Raw genomic sequence first — 21,201 nt, forward strand, 5'->3', positions numbered from 1 at the left:
CCTGTTCTATCACTCCATCATTTTTCTCACATATCTCACACACATTTTTACTCTGATGTTACCAAACTACTAAAGTTTTAAACACACACGTTTTTTTCCTTGCCTGTTTGTTTGTACCTGTTGCTTTCTCTTTCTGGAGAGCTTTTAGTCTCTTCTGTGCTGTCTCATTCTTATCCTTCAACACTCAGTTCAACTGCTTCCAGTTCTAAGAAGTCTCCTTTGGCAACACCCCCGTTCTTACACAGTCCAGCCTGTAATAAGTGCCTTTTCCACATTGTCATAGTGCATTGGACATGCTTCCTTTTTATACAAAACACCTACATGCTTGAAATTTGTTGCATTGCCTAGTCCATATTATATTAGTTAGTGAAAAAGTAACTGCGATTTTTTCCATTAAAAGTAATGGCAAAAACTGCAATTACTTTTGCACCAAACTAACACTGTGACCTCACTAGGGAATACCAGTGTGGTATGTATACAAAAGAGACTGTAGCAAAGTAAGATGTCATAATTTCATATTTAATTTAAAAGAAGCTTTTTCTCTTATTCCTGTTTTACCTCTTCATCTTCCTCTCTTCATTTTAACACAAGATGTTAATAACCTCTCTAGGTCTTTCTCAGTTCATAATATTGCACCTGAAGAAAGTTTATTTATTTTGATAGATGCACCTATACGTTCAACTAAATTGTGTGTATGAGAACAAGAAGACCATCTATAATTGTTTGATCCTTTGAAGAAAAGATAATGGCAAAAATTCAACTTACAAATACATATTAGGTATACATTTTTGTCTGAGATACAAGTAGATTATAAAATAAAATCTTAAAATTATGCCTAAAATGACACTTAACTGACAGTTTTTGGATAGAGTCAAAATCTATTAGCTGATAGGTATATTGAGAAATGATCTGGCACTGAACCAAGTTTTTGGTGTCAAATACAGTGTTATTTAATCAAATGGAAAAATAATTCACTTAAATTCAGACCTAACAATAAATGATATTTCTGGCATAAACAAACACATGCTTTATGTAACTGTTAGAAGATAAGTGAAAAGCCCTTGCAGCATATTCAATATGGGGAAAAGTAAGGACAATGCCAGTCACCGAAAAAGAAAAATTAACTTATTTTTTCTCAGAGAAAAATAATGTAAAATACTATCTAGTTGCATTTAAAAAATTGCTTTTTGCTTTACAAAATTAGCCATTACACTCCCGGATATTTATTTAAGAGTAATGAAGAATTAAGTTCAAACAAAAATCTACACAAGAAGGTAATTTTATTTGTAATAGCCCCACATTGGAAACACTGAGTTGTTCCTTCATGAGTGAATGATTAAGCAGACTGTGCTGATGCATCCTTGCCATAGTATACTACTCAGCAGTATAAAGGAACTATTTCCTGCAGCAATCTGGATGAATCTCCAGAGAATTACACTGAGTGAAAAAGGTCAACCCCAAAAGGTTACATATCAGACAATTCCATTTATATAACCTTCTTGAAATTACAAAATTATAGAACTAGAGAACAGGTTCGTGGTTGCCAGAGGATAATAAGGGAGTGAGGTAGGAGGAAAGTAAGTGTGGCTATAAAAGAGTAATGACAGGAATACTTGTGATGATGGAAATGTCCTATATTTTCGATGTCGATATTCTCATTGTGGTATTGTACTATAATTAGGCCAAATATTAAAGGGTATATGGGTTCTCTCTGCATTGCTTCTTAAAACTGTAAGTGCATCCAGAATATTACACAGTAAAAAGAGTTTAATTTAAAAAAGCAATTCTGGCTGGATGCGTGGCTCAGTCTTGTAATCCCAGCACTTTGGGAGGTTGAGGCAGAAGGATAGCTTGAGCTCAAGAGTTCCAGACTAGCCTGGGCAACATGGCAAAACCCTATCTCAACAAAAAAATACAAAAAAGTACAAAAAGGTAGCCAAGCATGGCGGTGTGCACCTGTGGTCCCAGCTACTTAGGAGGCTGAGAAGGGAGGATAACTGGAACCTGGGAGATGAAGGCTGCAGTGCACCTCCATGATTCCATCATGGTGCACTGCAGCCTGGGCAACAGAGCAAGATCCTGTCTCAAAAAAATATAATTTTATTGTTAATTTAAAAATGGTAAAGGGGAATTTTATTCCCCTTAAATGATGTCTTCCTTAAGGTCTTCCTTAAGGTATGTAGTAAAGGATTTGAATAAAGTATGTGCTTTTAACCACCAAGTACAGATACATATATATTAGAAGACCAGATTTAATCTCAGGCTAATTATTTTTTAAAAAAATCTATTGATAATATAGATAATAAACTATTGTGTGTTACATAATTTTTAAAAATGACACAATCCTAACCATGTATTAAGCAACCTATCCCATTAGGTATTATTGAGAAAAGTAAAAATTGATGTGATTTTAATGTTTTTATCACTATTTTTTTCATCAATAACAATGTTAGCATTTCTTACTGTTCTTTACACTGTCTTGGAAATAAAGGCACAGAAAAACATGGCATCAAGTAAGTTATTGGTGTTCACTATAAAATTCTAACCAAATGAGGTGTCAACTCCTTACCAATGGTTTATTAAATGCAAAAATATTATAACACAATGATAAATAATATGTTTCATGACATTGAGGATTCATGTCTGAAATAACAAGTGCCTAATCTGCTTATTAATGAGAAAGTGTAAAGTTATCTGATGCAAAAAACATGCTCTGGGAAATTGGGGTAGGTGGTGATGGTAATAATTATTGTTAATTCCAAACCAAATACCTATGTTAGGAATGTTTCTTTTAAATCACTCGTGTAGTGTGAGTAAAATGAGTTGAGATATTGCTCAAATTCAATTACATAAGGTATTCTAATGTATAAATTGTACTTTAAACTCATATATGAAATTAGATTTGATATTAGGTGTTACAATGTCTTTGTAATACATCAACTGAAACATCATATTGAAGTTTTTTTTTTTTTTTTTTGAGACGGAGTCTCGCTCTGTCGCCCAGGCTGGAGTGCAGTGGCGGGATCTCGGCTCACTGCAAGCTCCGCCTCCCGGGTTCACGCCATTCTCCTGCCTCAGCCTCCCAAGTAGCTGGGACTACAGGCGCCTGCCACTACGCCCGGCTAATTTTTTGTATTTTTAGTAGAGACGGGGTTTCACCGTTTTAGCCGGGATGGTCTCGATCTCCTGACCTCGTGATCCGCCCGCCTCGGCCTCCCAAAGTGCTGGGATTACAGGCGTGAGCCACTGAAGTTTTTTAGAAGAAATTTTTTATGTTAAAACATCGTGAAGGAGTCAGAAACCTCAAATGTCTTCATTTAATTCAGTGTTATTTTTAGTTGAAATATGAATCACTTAAGCTATTCATACTTTTATTCATTTATTCTCATATATATTTATCCAATAGTACCATATTTATTATAGTAAAGACTGTCAGAATTCACTTACCAAAAGTTTTTCAAATGTTAAGCACTCTACCACAATGTATACTTGAGAATATGAACTATGCCATTAATATCTATTAAATATGCTTTTTTAGTCAATAAATATTTGTAATATGTAAGGAGAAAATAAAATCAGAATATTATGAAAATATATAACCACAGCATCTAATGTTATATTTATTAAAGTTTTTTTTTAAATTTCATCACTTTACCTATCATGACAGGTAAAATGTACAGTGACTAAATGAAACAAAGTCATGAGGAAATCTACCAATCTATCTGCAAGATTGTTAAAACTAAGGCTCTGATTTATTTTTCAGGGAACTTTGTTAACATTTTAATATAATGTACATTACTCTTGTATAATATACAAGAGTATAATATACAGTGTAATTTAAAGGTAAAATGGAAATGTTACAGTTGTGGCTATTAGTGTATTATTTTCTATTTTTATAGCTTGTATGTGAAAAACAAGAATGCACATTTACATAACATTTTTAAATTTCATCATGTATTTATTTATAAATTTCAATATGTATGTATTTATCAATTTCAATATGTATGCATTTATTTTAATGTTAGGGTAACCTCTGTAGATGTATAACTTCTTTAAGAATATAGATGAAGAAGCCACATTACCTAGATTGAAATCTTGCCTTCATTATGCTATATATTAGAATCAAATTCAGTTGATTATGCCAGAAAGTCAAGAACATCATGAATCAAAAATTTTTTTCTATTCATATTTAAAAAATCAAAAGTATAAGGTGATATGTTCTCATCATGTACCCAGTGTCCTAGATTTTCACTCCACATTAGAGTATGACCTCATCTTTTGCTCTCAGATGCCTGCCAGAGCTCCTTTGAGCATCTCCAGGCAGCCAGAAAGGAGAAGAGCAAAGGGCAAAATGGGTTGCCATCTGAGTCTGCCTTCCCAAAATCTTACCCAGTGATTCTCTTTTTATATCTCACTGGCCAAACCTATGTCACTTGGCCATCTCTACCTGTGGGATGAGTTGCTACCCCCCCCAAAAATAAGAACTTTATTAATAAGGAAAAAAGAAAAATGTGGATTTTGCAGGCTACTTGCTACTCACAGTCTCTGCCACAATCACCCTCCAAGTAACTTTGAATAATTAAAACAAGCAGAAATTGATTATGTAATACTCACATCAAGCCTGCTGTTTTGTCCAGATAACTTATGTTGACAAAACCAGCCACAGGCATTTGAGACTGTAACTACTCATTCACTCTAAGGAAGCCCAAAGGCATATAGCAGGGCCTGATATCCAATACAGAGATCTTAAGCTGAATGATTAAGGATTCTGTGGTTAAGATACAAATATGATATAAGCAAAATCATTACTCTTGAATTATCCTGTCTTCTCAATATTTATTGTTTGGGTTTTTCCTAGACCGTCCCCTGCCACGATTAGCGAGCTGGTGGCTATGTCTTGCACATATCACATAACAAGCTAGTGGGAACATTCCCCAAAATAGTGTTTTGGTGGGAGAAGCACAAGCCATTCTCCTGCACTTTAGAGGATTTGTGATAGAGATCCTAAAGATGATCAAAATCAAAATTTATTCTCTTCAGTACTGGGCCATAGAAATTTTCCTTTGAACATTACAGAAGTCCAGGGACTTTTCTGGAAGATTACATTGCAAGGAATCAGTTTTAGACAAATTGACACTTCTCAGTTCACACACCTCATTCCCAAGTGTAACTAATAAACATCTGTTATGATTAGGTTTTGTGTCCCTATCCAAATCTCGTCTTGAATTGTAATCCCCGCTTGTCAAGAAAGAGACAAGGTAGAGGTAATTGAATCATGGGGGTGGTTTACCCCATGCTATTCTCATGATAGTGAGTGAGTTCTCATGAGATTTTATGGTTTTATAAGGGGCTCTTCTCCTTTCACTCAGCACTGTTTCTTCCTGCTGCCATGTGAAGAAGGTGCCTTGCTTCCCCTTCACTTTCCACCATGATTGTAAGTTTCCTGAGACCTCCTTAGCCATCCTGAATTGTGAGTCAATTAAACCTAATTCCTTTATAAATTACCCAGCTTTGGGCAGCTCTTTATAGCACTATGACAATGGACTAATACAGCAACATACAGTACACCTTCAGTAAACTGTACCTTTTCAACCCATAGGGATTGTAAGGCTGTTTACTGTCATTATCATAGAAACACAGCAGAATTGCTGACATAGGACACTGGATTATCATTACGTCTTGTGTAGGATAGCCGTATGTTGATTAGTGAGCTGTTAAGAGTGTTCCAATATGAGACTGCATAAATTATAAATATCCTATCTGAGTCACCAGATGACTCTGTCATTTCAAGGAGTTTTTAATGAGCAAACTCCTACAGACCACCTATACCAATGACACTTCCATTACACTGAACACATAAGATGAGGAATAAAATTTTGAAGTTCTTTAAATTTTTCTCTTCTGGTTGATTTGTGCCCTCCTGTATTATTTTCTATTTTTATTTAAGATATCAGTAAGATAGGGCAGATTTTTCAGTTGGGAGAAGAGAGGGTACCCTATGTTTCTGTTCCTTGGGCATAAAAATTTGATCAGGAAGTAGATTAATATCTCCCCTCAGAAGAGTCGTACCCCTTGGTTACTCTTGACCAAGCTTTCTAAAACTGAGAATAAAAACCAAGGAATCTTATTCTTCATGGCATCCTATTCTGGAATTAGAATATTGACTTTTGAATTGTTAGGAATATAAACTGCATGATTAGGGAAATACCAGCTCTTACCCCTGGGTACCAGCTTATCTTACTGGTTGCTGATTAAACTGGCCCACTCCAAATATAGTTGTTGGACACAAGCCTTATAATTGCAGTGTTACCTTTATGGTATGACTAGTGGCAGGACTGGCTACTTTGGAATTCCCAGATGCACCAGCTCATCCCCTTAGTACAAGCAAATATTAGAGAAGTGAGAGTACAACACTTGCAGTTTTCCCATTCTTGTAGTTGTCTAGAAATAGGTATTTTAAGAATGGACCTTAATTCAACTTCCATTGAATATGTAGAATGACAATTTCTTTTCTAAGATGATGGCTTTAAGCATGTTAACATTTACTTTTCATTAGGCAGGTCACTTATGATTTGGGTAGATTGATTACTTTAGCTGCTTGCAATGATTAAATAAAGTTATACACACAATAAGCTTAAATGATACACCTTAAGTATTTTAATTATTAGCATATATATTTATATTATTGTAATTGTAAAAATATATGCAGTATGTTTTGTATATATATGTGTATACACATACACACACAGAGATTATCTTCATTAGACAATAAAGAAATGGAGGCTCAAAAAACATAAGTGAACTGCCCAAGAACATACAAAAGTAAATGATAACGTAAGTATAAATATCTAATTTTCTAAAATCTACCTTTTTAAAAATCTACACGCAAAATATATTTGGGGCTATATATATATATGTCAAGAGTGACAAATTTTAATATAATAGAAAAAGAATTTTTACTTAATTGATAACTATTAAATTTCTCCTTCATAAAATGTGTTTTCATACTATTTTTAAAAATATATAAAATATAAAAAGTATCAAAATCAGAACACTAAATATAATTAAAATGTAATTTGATTTTTTAAATTATTCAAAATTTTTAAATATAAAGTTATTTTTAAACATTTAAATGTAACAGAAAATTCTAAACTTTAGAAAATACTAGTTCAAGAAATATCTACTATATATTAAACAATGGTGCTGAAAATATGTTTTTTAATGCTATTATAAACAGAAAAAAAAGAACATTACCTTTCTAAAATAATGCTTATTATTGTTCAATTTTATCACATAAGTTAAATGGCATAGGAGCTTTAGTCTTCTGTATATTATTTAAGAAAGGATATGGTAGTAGATGACATCTCTTACATAGCTAATTTTTAAAAATAAGTTATTTTTTTTTATTTTTCGAGACGGAGAGTGCAGTGGTGCGATCTCGGCTCACTGCAAGCTCCGCCTCCTGGGTTCACGCCATTCTCGTGCCTCAGCCTCCAGAGTAGCTGGGACTATAGGCGCCCGCCACCACGCCCGGCTAATTTTTTGTATTTTTTGTAGAGACGGAGTTTCAACGTGTTAGCCAGGATGGTCTCGATCTCCTGACCTCGTGATCCGCCCACCTCAGCCTCCCAAAGTGCTGGGATTACAGGCGTGAGCCACCGCGCCCGGCCAAAAATAAGTTATTTTTATATGATAAAATTATAGAACATTTGAAAAATTAAAAATTTCAGAAAAAAACAGAATAGGAGAGCAACTAAAAGCACAGGTTTTGAAGTTGTGCTCCTCAGGTAAAAATTCAGGCTCCATAATTTCTAAGTAGAATCTGGTAAAATGCTTTTCATGTTATCTTACATACCTAATGTCTCTCATCTGTTAAAATGGCAAAATAAGAATATATATTGTAGTATTCATGGTTTACTTGAATAAAGCAAATGAAAGTTTTTTTTTTAAATAAGAATAATATAGAATGTGTTTCCCCAAAAAATGTCAGCCAGCATTGTAAAAGCTTTTTTGAAAAAATAACATTGAGATTATCTTTTAATATAAATTGTAGAATATGACAATAAATTCCTTTTCCTATTACCCCAAGAAGTTTAGTAAAATATTGCATTATTTTGACTTATTATATATATTCTCTCTCTAAGTTTTGTTACTCTCACTTAGATAAAACTAAATATATACAAAAATTTTATTGTTTTAAAGTTGAACTTTATATTAATAAAATGGCCCTACTGCCCAAAGGTAGTTAGAGATTCAATGCTATTCCTATCAAACTACCAATAATATTTTTAACATAATCAGAAAAAACATTTTAAAATTCATTTGGAATTTAAAAAGAACACAAATAGCCAAAGTAATCCTGAGCAAAAAGAGCAAAGCTAGAGGCATCACATTACCCGGCTTAAAACTATACTACAGGACCACAGTAACTAAAACAACGTGGTACTGGTACAAAAACAGACTCATAGACCAATGGAACAGGTTAGAGAATGCAGAAATAAAGCCTCACACCTACAAACATCTGATCTTCAACAAAGCTAACAAAGCCAAGGAATTTGGGAAATGATTCCCTGTTGAGTAAATGCTGCTGGAATAACTGACTAGGCATATGCAGAAGATTGAAGCTGGACCCCTACCTTTCACCATTTACAAAAATCAACTCAAGATGGATTAAACACTTAAATGTAAAGCCTAAAACTATAAAAACTCTGGATGATAACCTAGGAAATACCATTCTGGATATCAGCCCAGGCAAAGACTTCATGAGGAAGACTACAAAGCAATTGCAACAGAAACAAAAATTGAGTAGTGGGAACTAATTAAACTAAAGAGCTTCTGCACAGCGAAAACAAACAACAACAACAACAACAAAAGACTATCAACAGAGTAAACAGACAACCTACAGAATGGGAGAAGATACTTGCAAACTATGTATTCAAAAAAGGTTGAATATTAAGAATCTATTAGGAACTCAAAACAAATTAAAAAGCAAAAACAAACAACACCATTAGAAAATGGGCAAATGGGCAAATGGGCTGAGCATGGTGGCTCACGCCTGTAATCCCAGCACTTTGGGAGGTCGAGGCAGGCAGATTACCTGAGGTCAGGAGTTTGAGACCAGCCTGGCTAACATGGTGAAACTCCATTTCTACTAAAAATACAAAAAGTTAGCCAGGCATGGTGGCACACACCTATAATCCCAGCTACTCGGGAGGCTGAGGCAGGAGAATCGCTTGAACCAAGGAGGCAGAGGTTGCAGTGAGCCGAGATCACGTCATTGCACTCCAGCTTGGGCAACAAGAGTGAAACCCCGTCAAAAAAAAAAAAAAAAAGAAAAAGAAAAAGGAAGGAAGGAGGGAAGGAAGGAAGGAAAAGAAAAAGGGGAAATGAAATTAACAGACACTTCTCAAAAGAAAACACAGCGTGGCCAACAGCATACTAAAAAATGCTCAGTATCACTAGTCAGTAGGAAAATGCAAGTCAAAACCACAATGAGACACCGTCTCACACCGGTCAGAATGGCTATTACTAAAAAGTAAAAAAATAAGAGATGCTGGACAGCTTGTGGACAAAAGGGAAACATACACTGTTGGAGGGAATGTTAATTCATTTAGCCACTGTTGAAAGCAGTCTGGAGATTTCTCAAAGAACTTACAAAAGAAATACCATTTCATTTAGCAATCCCAATACTGGGTATATAACCAAAGGAATATACATCGTTCTACCATAAAGACACATGCACGTGTGTGTTCATCACAGCACTATTCAGCATTTTACATGGAATCAACCTAGATGTTCATCAGTGGTGGCCTCGATAAAGAAAATGTACATATACACCACAGAATACTACACAAGTATTAGAAAAAAATAGATGATGGCCTTTGAGGAACAGAAAACCAAATACCACATGTTCTCACTTAAAGTGGGAGCTAAACGCTGAGTACATATGGATGCCAAGAACCCAACAATAGACACTGGGGCCTATTTGAAGGTGGAGGGTGCAAAGAGAGGTAGGATTGGAAAACTACCCCTTGGGTATTACACTGATTACCCGCGGGATAAAATTATTTGTACATCAAAAGCCCCTGACACACAATTTACCTATGTAACAAACCTGCACTTGTACCTCCTGAATCTAAAATAAAAGTTGGAAAGAAAATAAATAAATAAAGTTGAATTTCAGATTCACAAATATTTAATGGCTATAATGATAAAGAGTAGAGTGACATGTTTTAAAATTCTGCCTTGTAATTTCCTGATGCAGTGAATTATAACAAATTTCGCTAAGTGTATGCTTTCCTTTAACACTATTATATAATTTATTGTAAGAGCCTTTAAAAAATAACTTCAATTTGCCTCATGGATGAAAGTTATGAAAACTTCATGCTGAGTTTTATTTCTTAATGCATTATACTTATTAAAGTTAAATACCTGCTATAATATATTGAATAGATGAGTCATTTGAATAAAAAGAAAACAATAAAGTTGCCATCATTTATGAAACTCCAAAACATTGTATTATTTATTCATCATGTAGCTACCATCTAACAATTTTTAAATCTTTCTCATTTTATTATTTAATATGTAACACAAGTATTTTTACATGCTCAAACTTCAGATAATTGTCAAATTATTAATGTCAAATTCAGAGAATTGTCACTAAGTACAGACATCATTATTACAACTTCCTAGATTGTTATAGATAATCAGCACCTCACAAGTCATGCTTGTCTTCATAATCACTATTGAACCAAACATATATCAACATAAATATGATTTATATGCTATCAACTTTCATATAAATGGAACTATACATTCTCCATGGTATCCTGTTCTGGAATTAAAACATTTATTCCTGTGTTGTTAGGAATAAAGTAGACCTTTACTTTGGTCTTCTTTTACTCATTAAAATATGTGAGATATCCATTAATGTTGCTGCAAGTAACAGAAGTTCATTGATCTTTATTGTCCAGTTTTATGTATATCCTATAATGTAGTTATGCATTTTACTGTTGATGGACATTTTGGTTGTTCTGGTGTGAGGCTATTATAACTATTGCTGTCATAAGTATTGTTTTACATGAATGTAGTTTTTGCATATATATATATATATAGAGAGAGAGAATTTTATTAGAGGTATAGCTGGGACTGGAATCACTTGATCATAGGGCATACCTATATTCAACCTGGGAAGATAATAATAATCAACATTCCAAAGAGGTTGCAACAATTCACACTCCACAAAACAGTGTGAAAGATACAGTTATTCCACACGCCCTCCAACTTTTGGTATTTTCAGCTTTTAAACGTTAGCTATCCTAGGGAGTACATAGCTGTATCTTATTGTGGATTTTATTTCCCCTTTCCTAATGAGTAATGAATATATCTCTTGTTGTCTGCACTTTTTATCATTGATTTTTTTCTGTGATTATTATTTGCAAAAGCCTAATAAATCAAAGTCCACCAGAGAAAAGAACACAGTCTGACAAAGTTAGATTTACTGATCCGATAAAGCAAGACAGGAATTCCAGAGGAACTACAAAATCCCACTCCATAAGAGGGATTAGGGAAACCTCTTTTGTAAGGTTTGGCTTCTCACCAAATAATTCTTAGGAGGATCTAAGGAAAGTAAGAGTCAATTCTGATTCGTCTCTGTACCTGAGGTGGGTTTAGAAGCAGAGATTAACTACGGATTGGGTACTGTCATGAGGCAAGGACAGCTTAGTGATTAGGTATTACCAGTATTAGACGGGACTGGCAAAGTGGCTCTAGGATGTCATTGAGAAAAAAAAAAAAGCATTAGGCATTAAAGAAAGGATTATTGCAGTATTTCACAGCTGCTGCAGGACTTTGGGACAAACAGCACTTGCAGTTAATTTTGTGCTGGCTTTATCTGGGTCTGCCCTTCTGTTGTGATTAATGGTAAAGTTGCTTTTTCTGTTTTCAGTTCAAGTTGATTTTCACTCCTTTAGTTCTAGACAGGTTTTTACTCTTCATTGTATATTCTGGATACTAGTCTTTTTTGCCTTATGCAATGAGACGATCATCTACCATTTTCTGGCTTTCATTTTCTTTCTTTTAATAATGCTTTCTGAGGAGCAGAGGTCATTAATTTTAATGAAGTAAAATTCATCAATGTTTAGTTCAGCGTTAACGTTTGCTTCCTCCTGTTTAAGAAAAGTTTGCCTATGTAAAGTTCACGATCATATTTTTCTATACTGTCTTCTAGAAAACTTGTTATTTTATGTCTCACATGAAGTCTACAATTCATCTGGAATTGATTTTCATATACAGCATAAGATCCTAGGAAATGAGATTAATTTTTCCTTCTTTGCATACAGATAGTCAAATTGTCAAACTGCTTTTATTGAAAATATGATTCCTTTTTTTCTGGATTCCAATGGCTCTTTTTGGCACAAATCAGGTAAATATATATATATATTCCTGTACAACATTCTTTTCCATGGGTCCATTTAGATATATTTCTACCAATACTATATAATTTTAATTACTGTAGCAATATTATAAGTTTTAGAGATTGGCAAATATAAGTCCTCTAACCTTGTTCTCATCTTCAACTTTATTTTTAATTTTCTTTGTCAGTTTGCAATACACACACACACACACACACCATAAATGAAACCCTACTTGGATGATGATTAAAATTGCATTGCATCTAATATATCAATTTAAGGATATTTCCTAATATAAAAATGATCAGTCGCCCTAAACTTCAAACATGTTATAGCTCTTTTCATTTGCCTTTAAAAATTTTCTTTTAATGATATCTTGTGACCCTATCTAGTGAACTTGCATATATTTATATTTATTCCTAAATTTTGAAAATTATAATTTTTATAACTATGGGACTTTCACAGTAGATTTTGTAATCGTTCATTGCTGGTATATAGAAGCACACTAATTATTGTGTATTGATCTTACATTCATATACCTTGCTTAATTTATTTATTAATTCTCATGGAGTTTTCATAGATTTCATTGACATTTCTTACAAACATAATTCTATCACTGAGAAGGACACTTTATACCTTCTTCATGCTCCATCTTTTTACTTACATAAACTATTTTGGCCTTGAATAGAAGTAGAGGTATTGCAATCAAAGTAAAACCTTCTTGCCTGTTTTATTTAATCTCAGGAAAAATATTTTCAATATTTAATAAGTGTAGTATTTTGTCTTTTTTCTGCATAATTGTCATTTATTTATGATATGTCTTTATATTTATAGTTCACTGGTAGTTTTTACGTTAAAATTATATTAAATATTACCAAATAATATGTTTCTTCTAGTTTTTATCAACAAACACTATCCACTAATTTGTTAAAATTATCTTAAATTTTACAAATGCCTTCCCTGTATGTATTCAAACTATTAGTTTTTTTTATGTTATTTTGATATTAGTTGGCTGATTTTAATCAACTTTGTTGAAGTACAATTTAATAAAATATTCTGCACACATGTATAATGGGTGTTTTAAATAATTTTGCCAATATATACTCCCTTCTAACCACAAAGACAATCAAATTTAGAATGTTTCTACCTTCCCAAAATGATGATAGATGATTGTTTAGTTGCAAATTTTCCCGCACCCCAACCTCATACAATATTGATTCATTAATTTTTTGTGACCTTAGATTATTATGCATTATGTAGAATTTCAAATATACATGGAATCAGAATGTGTGGATTCTTTGTTTCTACTTTCTTTGATTCAGCATACTACTTTTGAGATTCATCTGTGTTTTTACATTTATTCTTTTTTGGACATTTTTATTAGTAATATTCTAATTTATGCATATACCACAATTTGCTTATCCATTCACCATATATTTTTTGGATGGAATTGATGCATGCTTTCAATTTTTTTTTTATATATTTAGGGGGTACAAGTGCAGTTTTATTACATGGATATATTGTGTAGTGGTGAAGTCTGGGCTATTAATAAATCCTTCATGTGAATGGTGTACATTGTACCTAATAGGTAATTTTTTATTGCTTATTATTCTCCCACCCTACCACCTTTTGGAGTCTCCGGTGTCTATTATTCCCCACCTTATATTCATTTGTGCCCACGGTTTAGCTCACATCTTTAAGTGAAAACATGCCGTATTTGACTTTCTGTTTCTGAGCTATTTCAGTTAAGATAACGACCTTCAGTTCAATCAATGTTGCTACAAAAGACAGGCTTTCATGGTATTTTAATGACTATTATTCCATGGGATATATATGCCACATTTTTTTTCTTTTTTTAATTAACTTTTATTTTAGATACAGGGGTGCATGCACAGGTTTCCTCGCACAAGACTATTGTGTGATTCTGAGGTTTGGTGTATGAATCACACAAGAAGTGAGAATAGTACCTGGTAGGTGGTTTTTTAACCTACTACCTCCTCTCCTTATTCTAGTAGTATACAATGTCTATTGTTTCTATATGTATGTCCATGTGTGCTTAATGTTTAGCTGTCACATATAAGTGAGAATACGTAGTATTTGCTTTTCTGTTTCTGTATTAATCTTCTTAAGATTATGTTCTTCAGCTCCATCCATATTGCTGCAAAGAACATGATTTCACTCTTTTTATGGCAGCATAGTATTTCGTGGTGTATATGTACCACATTTCCTTTATCCAATCTGCTATTCATGGGCACCTGGGTTGATTCCATGTATGCTACTGGGAATGGTGCAGTAATGCACAAATGAGAATGATTTATTTCCCTTTGAGTGTATACCCAGTAATAATATTGCTGGGTCAAATTGTAGTGCTGTTTTAAGTTTCTTGAGAAATCTCCAGACTGCTTTCCAAAGTGGCTGAACTAATCTGCATTCCCCCTAACAGGGTATCAGTGTTTTCTTTACCTTTTCCTTTTCCTTTTCTCAGCATCTGTTATTTTTTAACTTTTTAATAATTGCTATTCTGACTAGTGTGAAATGGCATCTCATTGTGGTTTTGATTTTCATTTCTCTGATGATTAGTGATGCTGAACATTTTTTTCAATGTGCGTGTTGGTCACTTGTATGATTTCTTTTGAGAAGTGTCTTTTCATGTTCTTTGCGCATTTTCTTTTGGGGGGGTTATTTCTTTTTTTGCTTGTTGATTTGTTTAACTTACCTACAGATTCTAGAAATTAGGGCTTTGTTTGATGTATTATTTGCAAATATCTTCTCCCATTCTTTAGGTTGTCTATCTACTCTGTTGATAGTTTCTTATGCTGTTCAGAAGCTCGTTTGTTGAATTAGTTCCCACTTGTCAATTTTTATTTTTGTTGTAATTGCCTTTGGGGACTTAATAAAATTCTTTTTGCTAAAGCCAATGTTGAGAAAAGTATTTCCTGGATTGTCTTCCAGGATTTTTATGGTATAAGGTACTACATTTAAATTCTGATCCACTCTGAGTTAATTTGTGGAGGAGGAGAGGTAGGGGTCCAGCTTCAATCTTTTGCATATGGCTAGCCAGTTTCCACAGCACCATTTATTCAATAGGGGGTCCTTTTCCCATTGCTTGTTTTTGTTGGACTTGTCGAAGATCAGATGGTTGTAGGTGCATGGCTTTATTCTGGATATTCTTCTGTTCTCTTGGTCTTTGTTTCTGTCTTACACGCATACCAACTGTTTTAGTTACTGTGGTCTTGTAGTATAGTTTGAAGTCAGGTAATGTGATGCCTCTGGCTTTCTTCTTTTTGCTTAGGATTGCTTAAGCTATGTAGGCTTATTTTGGGCTCTACATGAGTTTTAGAATAGTTTATCCCAATTCTGTGAAGAATGTCATTGGTAGTTTGATAGGGATAGCATTGAATCTGTAAATTGTTTTGGGTAGTATGGTCATTTTCACAATATTGATTCTTAAAATCCTTGAGCATGGAATATTTTTTCATTTATTTGTATTTTCTCTGATTTCTTTCAGCAGTGCTATATAATCCTCCTTGCAGAGATCTTTTATCTCTTTGTTTAGCTTTATTCCTAGGTGTTTCATTTTCTGTATGGCTATTCTATGGGTAACTGTGTTCTTGATTTCACTTTCAGCCTAGATATTGTTGGTGTATAGAAATGCTACTGATTTTTGTGCATTGATTTTGTATACTGAAATTCTACCAAAGTCATTTACAAGTTATAGAAGTCTTTTGGGAGCATGTTTAGGATTTTCCATATGGAGAATCATATCATCAGCAAACAGAGATAGTGTGACTTTTTCTTTTCCTATTTAGATGTCTTTTATTTCTTTCTATAGCCTGGTTGCTTCTGCTAGGACTTCAAGTACTATGTTGAATAAGAGTGGTAAGAGTGGGCATCCTTGTCTTGTTCCAGCTCTCAGTGGGAATGGTTTGAGCTTTTGCTCATTTAGTATGCTGTTGACTGTGGGCTTGTCATTGATGGTGCTTACTTTGAAGTATGTTTTAACAATGAAAGAATATTGAATTTTATTGAAAGCTTTTTCTGCATATATTGAGATGATCATATGGTTTTGATTTAATTCTGTTTATGTGGTGAATCACATTTATTCATTTGCATATGTTCAACCAACCTTATATCAAAGAAAGAAAGCCTACTCCATTGTGGTAAATTAAATTTTGATGTGTTGCTGAATTTGGTTTGGTAATGTCTTGATGAGGATTTTTGCATCTATATTTATTAATGTTATTGGTCTTAGATTCACAGTTTTTATTGTGTTTCTGCCAATAAACACAAAATCAGTCTGATTTTGGTATCAGACTGATGCCAGCTTCATAGAATGACTTAGAGAGGAGCCCCTCTTCCTTTATTTTCTAAAAGAGTTTCAAAGGATTGGTATCCGTTCTTCTCTGTATATCTTGTAAAATTTGGCTCTGAATACATCTGGTCCAGGGCTTTTTTATTAGTTGCTAGGTTCTTTGCTATTAATTCAATGTCACACGTTGATATTGGTCTATTCATGGTTTCCACCTCTTCCTGATTTAATCTTTGGAATCTTGGGAGATTGTGTGCTTCTAGGGAATTTAGGCATTTCCTCTAGGTATTCTAATTTATATGCATAGAGTTGTTCACAGTAGTAGTCTCTAGGGATCTTCTGTATTTCTATGGGATCAGTTGAAATATTGCCTTTGTTCTTTCTGACTGTGCTTATTTGGATCCTCTCTTTCTTTATTTTTGTTCATCGAGCTAGGGGTCTATTAGTCTTATTTATTATACCAAAGAATCAACTCTTAGTTTCATTGGTCTTTTGTATAGGTTTTTGCATCTCAATTTTATTAGGTTCTTATCTAATTTTAGTTATTTGTTTTCTTCTGCTAGCATTGGAATTGGTTTGTTATTTTTTTCTAGTTCCTTTAGATGCAGTTAGATTACTAACTTGTGATCTTTCTAACTTCTTGATGAAGGCATTTTAGGGCTATCGTCTTTTCTCTTAATACTGCTTTGGCTGCATTCCAGAGATTTTGGCAAGTTTGTTCCTTATATTTACTAATTTAATTTTTTTTAACTTTCTGCCTTAATTTTTATGTTCATCCAGGAGTTTTTCAGGCCACGTTGTTTAATTTTCATGTGTTTGTGTAGTTTTGAGAGATCTTCTTCTTGATATTGATTTCTATTTTTCTTTTACTGTGGTCTGAGAGTGTGCTTGCTATGATTTTATTTTTTTGGAATTTATTGAGACTTGCTTTATGACCAAGTGATATATCTTGGATGTGTGTCCCTGCCCAAATCTCATATTAAAATGTAATTCCCAAACTGGAAGTGGGGCATTGTAGAAGGTGACTGAATCATGGGGGGCAGGAGCAGATTTCTCATGAATAGTTTACTACAATCCCTTTTTACACAGTCCCCATGATAGTGAATGAATTCTCCTAAGGTCTGGTCATTTAAAAGTGTGTAGCACCTCACTCTTTTGCTCATGTTCTAGCCATGTGATGTTCCTGCCCACCCGTCACCTTCTGCCATGATTGTAAGTTTCCTGAGGGCTCCTCAAAGCTGAGTGGACACCAGCTTTATTCTTCCTGTACAGCCTGCAGAACTGCGAGCCAATTAAACCTCTTTGTTTTTATAAATTACCTAATATCAGCTATGTCTTCATAGAAATATGAGAATGCACTAACATAGAAAATTTGAATTAAGGAGTGGGAAATTTCTATAAAGATACCTGAAAACGTGGAAGCAGCTTTGGAACTAGGTAACAGGCAGAAGTTGGAAGTCGTTGAAAGGCTCAGAAAAAGACAGGAAAATAAGGGAAAGTTTAGAACTTCCTAGAGACTGATTAAATGGTTGTGACCAAAATGTTGATAGTGATATGGACAGTGAGGGCCAGGATGATGAGGTCTCAGATATAAATAAAGAACTTATTGGAAACTGGAGCAAAGGTAATTTTTGTTACATCTTAGCAAGGAATTTTACTGCATTGTGCACCTGTCCTAGGAATATGTGGAACTTTGAACTTTCAGTGATGATTTAGGTATCTGGAAGAATAAATTTCTAAGCAGCAAGACATTCAAAATGTGGCCTGGATGCTTCTGACAACCTATGCTCAAAGCAGCGTCAAAGAAATGACTTAAAGCTGGTACTCATATTTATTTATTTAGTTGATTAGTTAGTTGGTTATTTTAACTTCTATTTTAAGTTCAGGAGTACATGTGCACATTTACTATATGAGTAAACTCATGTCATGGGGGTTTTGTTGTACAGATTATTTCATCATTCAGTATTAAGCCTAATACTCATTTGTTATTTTCCCCGATCCTCTCCCTCCCACAAACCTCTGCCCTTTGGTAGGCCCCAGTGTCTGTTGTTCCCTTCTATGTGTTCATGTGTTCTCATCTTTTAGCTCCCACTTATAAGTAAGAACATGCAATATTTTGTTTTATGTTTCTCTGTTAGTTTGCAAAGAATAATGGCTTCCAGCTCCATACATGTTCCTGCAGAGGCCATGATCTTATTTTTCATAGCAATGTGGTATTCCATGGTGTATAAGTACCACATTTTCTTTATCCAGTCTACCATTAATGGGCATTTAGGTTGATTTCATATCTTTGCTATTGTGAATAGTGCCGCAATGAACATATGTGTGCATGTGTCTTTATGATATAATTATTTATATTCCTCTGGGTATATACCAAGTAATGGGATTGCTGGGTCAAATGGTAGTTCTATTTATAGGTCTTTGAGGAATCACCACAGTTTTCCACAATGGTTGAACTAATTTACACTCCCACTAATAGTGTATAAACATTCCTTTTTTTCTACAAACTTGCCAGCACCTGTTATTTTTTAACTTTTTAATAATAGTCATTCTGACTGGTATGAGATTGTACATTGTCATTTTGATTTGTATTTTTCTATTGATCAGTGATATTGAGAGTTTTTTATACATTTCTTTGCCACATGTATATCTTCTTTTGAGAAGTGTCTGTTCATGTCATGTCCTTTGCCCACTTTTTAATTTTTTGTTTTTGGAAATTTGTTTAATTTCCTTACAGATGCTGGATATTAGACCTTTGTCAGATCCATGGTTGGCAAATATTTTCTCCCATACTGTAGGATGTCTATTTATTCTGTGGATAGTTTCTTTTGCTGTACAGAAGCTCTTTAGCTTAATTTGATCCCATTTGTCCATTTTTACTTTTGTTGCTATTCCTTTTTATGTCTTTATAATGAAATCTTTGCTCATTACTATGTACTGAATGACATTGTCTAGGTTGTCTTCCAGGATTCTTATAGTTTTGGGTTTTACATTTAAGTTTTTAATCCATTTTGATTTGATTTTTGTATATGGTGTAAGCAAGGAGTCCAGTTTCAATCTTCTGTGTATGGCTAGTCAGTTATCCCAGCAGCATTTACTGAACAGGGAAATCTTTTCTGATTGCTTTTTTTTTTTTCAGCTTTGTCAAAGATCAGATACTTGCAGATGTGTGACCTGATTTCTGGGCTCTCTCTTCTGTCCCATTGGTCTATGTATCTGTTTTTGTACGATTACCATGCTGTGTTGGTTACTGTAGCCCTGTAGTATAATTTGAAGTTGGGTAGTGTGATGCCTCTAGCTTTGTTATTTTTGCTTAGTATTGCTTTGATCATTAAGGCTCTTTTTGTTTTTATATAAATTTTAAAATAGTTTTCTGCAATTCTGTAAAGAATACCATTGGTAGTTTGATAGCAATATCATCGAATCTATGAATTGCTTTGGGCAGTGTGGCCATTTTAATAACATTGATTCTCCCTATATATGAGTGTGGAATATTTTTCCATTTGTTTGTGTCATTGCTTATTTCTCTGAGCAGTGTGGAATTTACATTTAAAAGAGACGCAAGGAATAAAAGTTTGGAAAATTTGCAGCCTGGTCATGTAGTAGAAAAGAAAAGCACATTTTCAGGGGAGGGATTCAAGCAGGCTGTGAAAATTTGCATAAGAAAAAGGAGCAAAGTGCTAATAGTCAAGACAACAGGGAAAAGGCCTCAAAGGCATTTCAGAGATCTAAGGTGCATCCTTTCTCATCACAGACCCTGAGGCATAGGAGGATAGAATGGTTTCATGGCCAGTCCCAGGACCCCTCACCCCTCCACGGCCTTGTACATGGCTTTCTGTATCCTGGCCACTCCACCTCCAGCCATAGATCAAAAGGACCCAAGTACAGCTGGGGCCACAGCTCCAAAGGGTGCAAACCATAATCCTTAGAAGCTTCCACATGGTGTTAAGCCTCTGGGTACACAGAGTGCAAGAGCGAATTAGGCTTGGGAATCGCTGCCTAGATTACAGAAGATGTATGTAAAAGCTTGTATGTCTAGGAAGAAGTGTGCTCTAGGGGCAGATCCCTCATATAGAACCTCTACTAAGGCAATCCAAAGGAAAATGTGGGGCCAGAACCCCTACCCGCACTGAGTTCCCACTGGGGCATTGTCTGGTTGAGCTATGAGACAAGGGCCACCTCACTCCAGAGCCCAGAATGGCAGATCTGCTGACAGCTTGCACTCTTTGCATGAAAGAGCTGCAGGCATTCCACAATCTGTGAAGGCAGCCTCTAGGGCTGAACCCTGAAAAGCCACAGGAGTGGAGCCGTCCAAGGCCCTGGGAGCCTACCTCTCATGTCAATGTGCCTGGGATTTGGGACATGGAATCAAAAGATATTACTATAGAGTTATAAAGAAGATTTATTGACAGCCCTGCTGGGTTTTGGACTTGTGTGGGACCTGTAGCCCCTTTCCTTTGGCCAACTTCTCCTTTTTGG

The 21,201-nt window shown here is 34.5% G+C and overlaps 1 annotated feature.

The window, feature by feature from the left end:
* Positions 20,125-20,670: an enhancer, noted in NCBI's record as "NANOG hESC enhancer chr1:190827140-190827685 (GRCh37/hg19 assembly coordinates)". NCBI's record gives its function as "activates a minimal SCP1, AML or CMV promoter by ChIP-STARR-seq in naive H9 embryonic stem cells {active_cell/tissue: H9 hESC(naive)}" and the evidence as "EXISTENCE:reporter gene assay evidence [ECO:0000049][PMID:30033119]".

Source organism: Homo sapiens, chromosome 1 (assembly GCF_000001405.40).
Source record: "Homo sapiens chromosome 1, GRCh38.p14 Primary Assembly".
NCBI lineage: Eukaryota > Metazoa > Chordata > Mammalia > Primates > Hominidae > Homo > Homo sapiens.